This window comes from Homo sapiens, assembly GCF_000001405.40.
Source record: "Homo sapiens chromosome 16 unlocalized genomic scaffold, GRCh38.p14 Primary Assembly HSCHR16_RANDOM_CTG1".
Taxonomy (NCBI): Eukaryota; Metazoa; Chordata; class Mammalia; order Primates; family Hominidae; genus Homo; species Homo sapiens.
Window position 1 is genome coordinate 1,302,111 of NT_187383.1, and position 8,914 is coordinate 1,311,024.

General features: G+C 44.4%; 1 pseudogene; it reads right to left on the reverse strand.

The window, feature by feature from the left end:
• Positions 1-3,031: 3,031 nt before the first annotated feature.
• On the reverse strand, positions 3,032-4,027 carry LOC102723815 (disintegrin and metalloproteinase domain-containing protein 29-like; annotated as a pseudogene).
• Positions 4,028-8,914: the final 4,887 nt, after the last annotated feature.

An 8,914-nucleotide genomic window follows, 5' to 3' on the forward strand; every position in this document is an offset into this window, starting at 1 on the left:
TGTAGTTTCCCATTGATCTTAATGACAGGGCATGTTATATATATTATATATACATATTAGGGTTCTCTAGAGGGACAGCACTATATATATATATATATATATATATATATATATATATAGTTTCCATAGTCTGTGGTATAGACTAGGTGAAATGGACTTTACAACCTCCTGAAGGGTAACACCCAGACTGTCACCTGAACTTCCTGAAATCCTGTGCCCTGGGGATTGGACAAACCTTAAAACCAAAGCCACTGTTAAGTTAGCTCAGCCTTTGATTGAGCATGGCAATCTGCCTATACTTGACTTCCGGGGTGGGTGAGGGAGAATTCCTGCCTGGAACAATGTCACATTACAAAGAATTTTCACAATGCTCATGAGACATCTCGGACCTTCCATCAGAAGCGTTCAGGATGGCAGGAGACTGGACATGATGAGCAAACATGGGGATAGGAGGAAGGAAACAGAGAATGGAAGGAGGTGACAGCTGACAAGGCCTTGTGTTCTCAGATGCTGAGCATGAAATGAAGCATTTATGATGAAGGAAACAGAACAGATGTATGCTACAATATTAAATATAAAACAGTAAATTACAGCAGGTGGCTTCACAGCAGCTTAGACACAGCAGAGGAGAAGAGGATGGAATTGGAAGATCGATGCTCAGGACGGATGCAGAGTGAAGCCGAGGACCCATCAAAGAGGATTTGGGAGTTGCAGGCTCTGGGAGTGGACCCACCCCAGAAAGAGAGAAGGAGAGGGATGGGAGGAAGAAGGAATGTTTGAAATTACTCCTTAGAGAACCAGGACAGCCCCTTGGGCCAAGCAGCCCATGACCCTTGCAGCCTCAGAGGTCCAGACTCCAGCCTGGCCTCACGTGCTGGTTGGTCTTGTCCCTGCCAGGCCAGAACCCTCCTCAGAACCCAGAGCCCCCACAGCTCTCCCTCACCCTATGCCCAGGACATGTCTCCTGTGCTCTCTTCTCTGGCCCACAGGTGGGAGTTTACACCTGCTCGGGTGGCCTCGGCATCCACACAAACAACCTGGTAACAGTTGTCCTGCTCCCTCCACCTGGCACAGCTTGGATCTCCCACAGTGCAGGCCCCATGTTTAGGAGTGATTAGAACACACAGAAGGACAGTTCAAGACAACAGGTGCTGAGGCAGGCAGATTTGGAGGATTTAAGTGCTGATGTTCTTGAAAGACCATTTCCATGGGGTTAATGGTGGTTTCTCTTGGTGAACTGTTGGCTTGTGTTTTTGATATTGTTGTTGCTCTAAATAGTGTTTACCTGACTTCAATATGAACTCTATTGGTCGCAATCTTTGTTAAAATATGTATCATTCTAAAAGTTCACATGGCATTAGATTTTTTGCTCAAACTACCTATAATATTTCTCCAACAGAGTGCACATTTGCCTTCCTTCTGCACATACCTCCGCCCCCTGCCCTGAGCAGTGTCTCAGCGGTTCCCATCTGTTTAGGGGGTGGGGCAGGAGACACAGGCCCTGACACAAGGTGGGGCTGTGCCAAGCACGGTGGTCTTGCATGGGCACTGAGTGGGTGGGCCCTGGAGAGAGGGGAGGTCATTCCCCCAGGGAACCCCCCATGCCACAGGGGAGAGGTCAGCTGGAGCACGAGGTGGGGGGCAGAGATGCATAAAGGGTGGGACGGGGCCTGCTGCTCTATCAGCAAAACCCCTCACACCCGAAGGACACACAGGTGGAGGGCTGTATTCACTGACCTCACACTCACTGTCCATTAGCGTTCACCCACAAAATAATAGAATACACTGAGAGAGGCACAGGAATGGATTGCTCACATCTTTATGACAGCTGAATGGAGGAAATTTCTAAGCAGGTTCAGAGAAAGGATATCAAGCTGTGTTTGGAGAAAGGGGTGGGAATTCTAAACAATATCTATGGAAGCAGAACATCTAGAACCACAGATGTATTCAGAAAAATGCTAGATCTCAGTACTACCCTAGAATATGAGCGGTTTTCTGTGGATGGTATGAGAAGGGTGATTTCTTCCGTTGGTGGGCTTTGCCTTTGAAATTCTCTGTGACATACCTACACTGCATTTTAAAAGTCAATATTATTGTGAATTTTAATTTAAAATAAAATGTTATCTCATTCGGTTATTTATACATTTAACTTCCATTTTCCTTTACAATAACTCAGCGACACACCTAGCCCTGTTTTACACCTGGACCAGCCTGTGCTGCTACAAGCCTGGTTTCTCTTCCTCATCACGACTTACTCAGCTTTCCTTCCCATTTCAGTTCAAGGAATTGTGGGGGCAGGAAGGAAGGGGGCAGCTGCCACTCACGGAGCTCACACTAAATGCCAGAGAGCTTGCCCCGCACATCTACCTATTTTTCTAGTTGAATTTCATTGCATGCAGCAATCAACTTCAGGGATTCATTTTCCCACATACGGGAAGCTTGGCCCCAGGTAGGGGGATTTGCTTGGTGGGGTATTTGAACCCAAGTTCCTCTCACTGCAAAGCCCACAGCACCCCCGTGAGGAACAGACAGGGAACAGGGAGTAGCCCTGGATCACCCTAAACTGACTTCGGGTTTAGAGAAGGACAGACTACCTGGGGAATGAGGAAGCTCATTGCTCTGGAGTTCTCTTCTAGAGAAATGTCATGAATGTGCCCTGTAAGGAGCTGGTGGCAACTTCCATTAATTCTGGGACCAGCAACCTCAGATCAAGAGCCAGATGCTCACTCAGGTCTCTCCAGGCCAGAGGTTCTGGCCAAGTTTGGGATCCCAGGGGAGTCTAAGAAAATGTGGAAGGCACCAAAATGTGTTTTTGAAGATTTATTTCAGAGCGAGCATCAGTGACCTACAAGAACCTGGACAGAAGCCAGTACCTCCCGTTTCCCCCATGATGTGAGACAGGACCCTGTGCCTCCTGTGGACTTCAAGAAATGTGGACTTGAGCTTTGCCATCCCTTCCTTTGATGCTGTTCCATAGATTTTGCTGTTATAGTCTCTGTATCTTTACAGGGATCAGGAGGCTGAATTAGTCTTATTCAGGGTTAGTAACTGTCCATCCCTTAACAGTGGTGGTCCTGATAGTTCACACATTTGTGGCCATCCCAAAGAGCAGTGCAATTATGAAGGTGTAAATACGACCAAAGACCACTCTCAGATACATCACTGATTGTTGGCTTTGTTTGACCGAACGTGTTATTTTTGGAGGTGGCCCGCTGTCGACACTCCCACCAGCACCTCTTCTTAGGCACAGTGGAGGATCCCAGCCTATATGGCAATGGCAGTTCCTTCTGTTGTTGCACACCCCTCTATGACTGCACTTCTCAGGGCGACAGTCGTAGCCCAGTGAAGTGATAGTCGCATTGCACCTGGTGTTATTACAGAAGTTTCCATGAACACAAGGAGTGCCATCTATCACACACCCAACATCAGTTGTGTCTGTTGCACGGTGGTCATCCAGTCCAAAACACTGAAATCCTCCTGTCACTGAGTGATGGAATGAAACATGTTCCTGCAGCCGGGGAAGATGGGTCACACTGGTACACTGCAGTCTTCCACAAAACTTATCTATTCCTGCACAAGCCTGGTTGTTGAGAGCTGTTTGTCGTCAAGTACAATGTCCAAATCGGTAACTTTCAAGATTTATGTCATAGCAGACCTCAGGAGCCTCCTCAGCACTGACACCAAAGATTACCTTGCAGAGCACATTGCGGTCAGTGCAGTTCCCATGATAGCAGTAGCCTTCTTCAGTGCACGGGGTTCCATCTTGCATATAAAAGTTTGCGGGGCATGTCACGGTGGTCCCGTGACAGTACTCTGGAAGGTCACATATATTTTGGATAGGTCTGCAGAGAGTCCCTGGTGGGGAGTAGCTGCAGTTTGTACAGCACTCTCCTATATGACAGATGCTCCCCGGTGTTAAGCGACAGTCACTTCGGCAGCAATAACTGGCATAACACTACTTGAAGGAGCCACAGTCACATTCCTCCCTCCCATCCGCTATGAGGTTTCCACAGCGAACCATTGTCATGGTTTCATTATACACAGGAGCAAGTGTTTCGAAAACACACCGGGCTGAATGTACAAAACAATTTTGTGCATGTCCATAAGAACAGTTACTGAACGCATCTGTCATCCCAGGATATTGCTGCATAATGCAGAAGGCCCTTTTCTGACATGTGCAGTAGTTATCATCACCAGTACTTCTCACCAGTACTTCTCATCAGTGTCTGGGTTGTTATGACGGCTACTAATAAATAATGTCTGCCTAGAGTACCAATGTGTAATAGGCCTAAATGTGTACAGAAGCTATACCTTTGTGGTTCATAGTTACATTCATGTGGTGCCTCTTTAATAAGTAGTGTGGGTGAATGAACACGAAAAGTATCAAAAAAGGTTGTTCTAAAATAGGTAAACATTGCACTCTGAACTCGATAGTCATTCACAGGGGCTGGGTCACAATTATTATATATGGTCAAAAGATAAATATAGTACCGCAGATCAATATTTTGAACAATGCTGTCACTGAGACTGAACATCTGGACCACCTCCTTGGAACAAGTTGTAATATTGTCATCTACACGACAATATGAATTGGAACATTGAACGTGGCCTTTTATATTGCCTCTATGAGAACTATACAGCCAATTAGATATCCTGGGATTCATGCTGTCATTTGCTTCAGAGAACAGGGGGTTTGTCTCCTCATTGTCACCATCTCTAAATGTGGGCCCCGTTGCGTTGGGCTCGGCCACTATCTGAGAAACATGTTCAAGCCTGCGGGAATCCTGGAGGGGTTTGATTTCATAGGCAAGGTCGTCCAGCTTCATGATGCCTCTGAGGCCCCCACAGCACATGTCCACGGTGACCATGGACAGAGGAACCTCCTCCAGGTAGCTGAGATAGTAGCAGTCTGGAGGGATGTAGGGGTCATCCATCTGCAAGGCTCCTTGGTCATCCTGAGTTGTCACCAGCAGATGTCTGGGCCAAAGAAGGTGTTTCCTCCGCATGTGAATGATGTGTCTTTGACCCCCAAAATGCAGGCTGTAGGACAGCCAGCCCAGAAACTGAAGGTCTTTGCCGTGGTGCGTCTCCTTCCTGGGAATCACCACCTTGGAGGATGCGTAGTGCCACGAGGGATGGCCTTGAGAACACCGGACTGGAGTCAGGAGCACCCAGAGCCCCAGCAGCAAGAGGGGGGCCCTAAGGGTGACCCGCGCCTCTGCCTGCCTCATGTCCCAGCCCAGGGATAGTCATCCAAAGACAATGGGAAAGGAAAGGACTGTCCTCGGCAAAGCCAGGCCCCAACCAGCTGCGGTGGCTGCGTCCCTCCCAGGGAGACCCTGACAGAGAACAAAGGGCCTCCCCAGGCTCCCACACCACACGCTGGGGCACCTGGACTCCGGGAGAGAATAAGGTAACAGTCCCAGGGCGGGGCAGGGGGCGGGCCTGGACAGGATGGCAGCTGCTGCACTGCAGGATGAGGCTGAGGGTCATGGCTGTGAGGGCTCATCGGGAAGGGAAAAGGGAGAGGGAAGCAGGGCTCTGTCTCTTTTACCACTGTCAATCTTTTCTGTTGCTTTCTGAATCTACAAAATACAATGATGTGTGTTCAATGCCCTCGCATCACCCATGTTATTCTCGGTCACTCTGTGGGTTAATAGTGCTCCTTTCTGTGGCTCACATTGCTTACTCCTTCGTCACGTGGAGGTAGATACTGCCAATATTTTCCTTGGGGATTGAATATTTTTCTACTCTTAATAAGTACCCATGTCTTATTCTTTTTGTTGTTGTTTCATTTTGTTGTGGCTTTGAAGTTTTGTTTGAAGTTACCAGATTGTGAAAGGAAAATATCTTGGGCCCCGTCAAGCTGGGAACCACTCAGGGCAAATCTGCCTTCCAGTCTATTAAAAGTTGTCCCTCTGGTCACAGAGATAGATGCATATTCTCATGGCCTCCTTTGCAAACACTTATCAGAAACTGAAAAGAATGCAACCATCTGTCTGTCACCTACCTGTGACCTGGAAGCCCTGAGTGGGGAGGACTTGTTTTGAGTTGTCTCAGCCTTTCTGGATGGAACTAATGTCCTTCTTACTTATATTGATTGATGTCTCATGTCTCCCTGAAATGTGCAAATCCAGCTGTGCCCAACCACCTGGGGCACATGTCATCAGGACTTCCTGAGGCTGTGTCACAGGTGTGTCCTCAACCCTGGCAAAGAAAACTTTCTAAATTAACTGAGATCTGTCTCAGAGTTCCTGGGCTCACAAGATCAACAGTTGGTATAGGGTAACTTTTTCTTCTGTGCTATGTTAAACCCTTGAGAATTATGATACTTTTTACTTAGTCCATCTATTGGGAACAGACGCTATTCCTGACCCCATGAGAGCCCCAGGTGCTGTCCCTCCGATGCTTCTGTATGGTTCTCTCCTGGTCTTTGGTCATTTCTTCAGATGCAAGAGCTGATCAGTTCTCAGGGAAGGACACAGGGGGCCCTCTGTGGGTGTCTCATGTCTGAGAACAAATATTTCGTGTATTTCTCCCATACTGAGTCTTCTGTGTTCAGTCCTGATTACCAGATGGAAACCCCTGGGAATCCCAGGGCTGTGGGTCTTCTCTCAGAGCTGCAGGGTCAGGTCTGTGCTTATTTTCACTCGGAGAGAGAGGGCCCTGTTTTCCTGCCTTCTCTTCTGTAGCAAGCTGTGATGTGGGATGCCTGAGGAGAGGGCAGAGCCCAGAGCAGATGTGAGACACCTGGAGGAGTTCATTGGCAACAGTAGCACTTGGAAAATATGATTACTTATAATGTGACTGTACCATGAAACTCACTTAGCAATTATTATTTTTCACACATGTGTACAAATTCAAATACAACTGCATTAAGCAAACTTTAAGAGATATAAAGAGAGAAATAGAAAACAATATAAACATAAGAGAAGACCTTAATACCTCACTTACAATAATGTTTAGCAAATCCAGAAAGAAAATTCTTAAGCCTCTGAATTTGAACAACACTATTGGACAAATTCACCTGAAAGACAGTTATAGAACCTTCGAACCAAGAGCCATGTAATACACGTTCTTCTCGAGCACAGATTGAACATTCTCCATGATAGGTTATATGTTACATCATAAAATGAGCATTAACATTTAAAGAAGTAATGCTAACCATTCTCTCTTTCAAAAATTTGTGAAAAGTCAACCTTCCAAACTATTTCTGAGGCTACCATTACACTATTACCAGTAATATTACCATTAATAGACAAAGGCACCACAATAAAATAAAATTATAGATCAATATCATTGGTAGACAAAAATTAACCACTCCAAATTTAGTAAACTAAGTTCTAAAGTTTTTTTAAAAACCATACACCATGATCAACTCAAATTTATTCTGAGTTGCACAGATGATTCAGTCTCCTCAAATCAATCAATTTGGTACACCACATTAAAAAACTAAAGAAAAAATATCTCAATAGCATTTCAACAGACATAGAAAAAACATTTGAAAAAATTCAGGGTTTCATTATAAAAACTCTGAACAAAGTAGGAAGACAGCAAAACAACTTGTACATAATAAAAGCCATTAAGAAAAGTCACAGCTATTGTTATACTCAATAGTAAAAGGTTAGAATATTTTGGTCTAATATCTGAAACAAGGCAAGAATAAAGCTTGAGGTATTACACTTCCAGGCCTGAAAATTTATTATAAACATAGAGTAATAAATCAGAATGGTATTGGCATAAATGCATACAGAGAGCTTAGATATAAACCCACATATTGATGGCCAGCTGATTTTCAGCATGAGAACCAGTGATATACAATGTCTAAATTATAGTGTCTTCCAAAGAGCATGTTATGAAAACTGGATTTTCACATGCAAAGAATTAAGAATTTTAGGATAGAATAAACACAAAAATTAACTCTAAATGCATTAAATATTTAAATGTAATATGTGTAATTATAAAACTCCCACCCCTGAAAAAATTAGCAATCTTTTTCTGGATTTTACATTCAAAGCACGTACAAAAAAAGCAGAATTGAACAAGTGGGACCAGATTTTACAAAAGATTCTGCAAAGCAACGAAATAATTCCAACTTACAGAATTGGATAATATACCATGTATCTGAAAAAGTGTTTATATCCAATATATAAATAAAACTTCCATAACTCAATAGCAAAAATAAAAATAGCCTGATTTTAAAATAATTGGTTTTACACCTTTAACAGTATAAGAACCTAGAACTCAGGTTAAATGTTTTCCTCCATGGCTAATGATCTGTCATATGGTGTACTTGGCTGGACAATAATTTGTATTGATTTGACAAAACACTAATCCGGGTGGTGGTGTGAATTTTTCAATAGACATTATTAAAACTGTAACCAGTTGACTCTATGTTAGGTAGATTATCATGGATAACCAGCTTAGCCCTGAATCCAACAGAGCAGATCTGGAGAAGGTAAAACTCCAGGGTGATTAAGCAGCTTCAGCTCTTTCTGAGACTTCCAGCCTGCACTTACTGATGGCCAGCCCTGAGGATATTGGAGGTTTCCAGCCATCCCCCAAAATTGTCATCCCCTACATCTCACAGGAAAGTGGCATGTCCCTCTGCACCTTGTCACACCTGAATATCAGAGAGAAAGAGATTCTCCAAAATCAAATAATATTTAGTTGAAAATGAGCATTGTAATGGGAATATGCATGGGCACATTTAGGTAGATAGAGGAAGACAAGTGTTTTAAAGGATAAATGAGGAGGCTTACATGAGCTGTTTTGAGACAACTATCCGGGGGTAGAAGAATCAATAACAAGGGTAGAATAAGTTTAAGGTTGGACAGGGAGTGGCAGGGCAGATATCCCCACAGTATTAATTCTCTTATTGTTGTGGTAGCCTTAGCCTTTGTTCAAGGTTGTA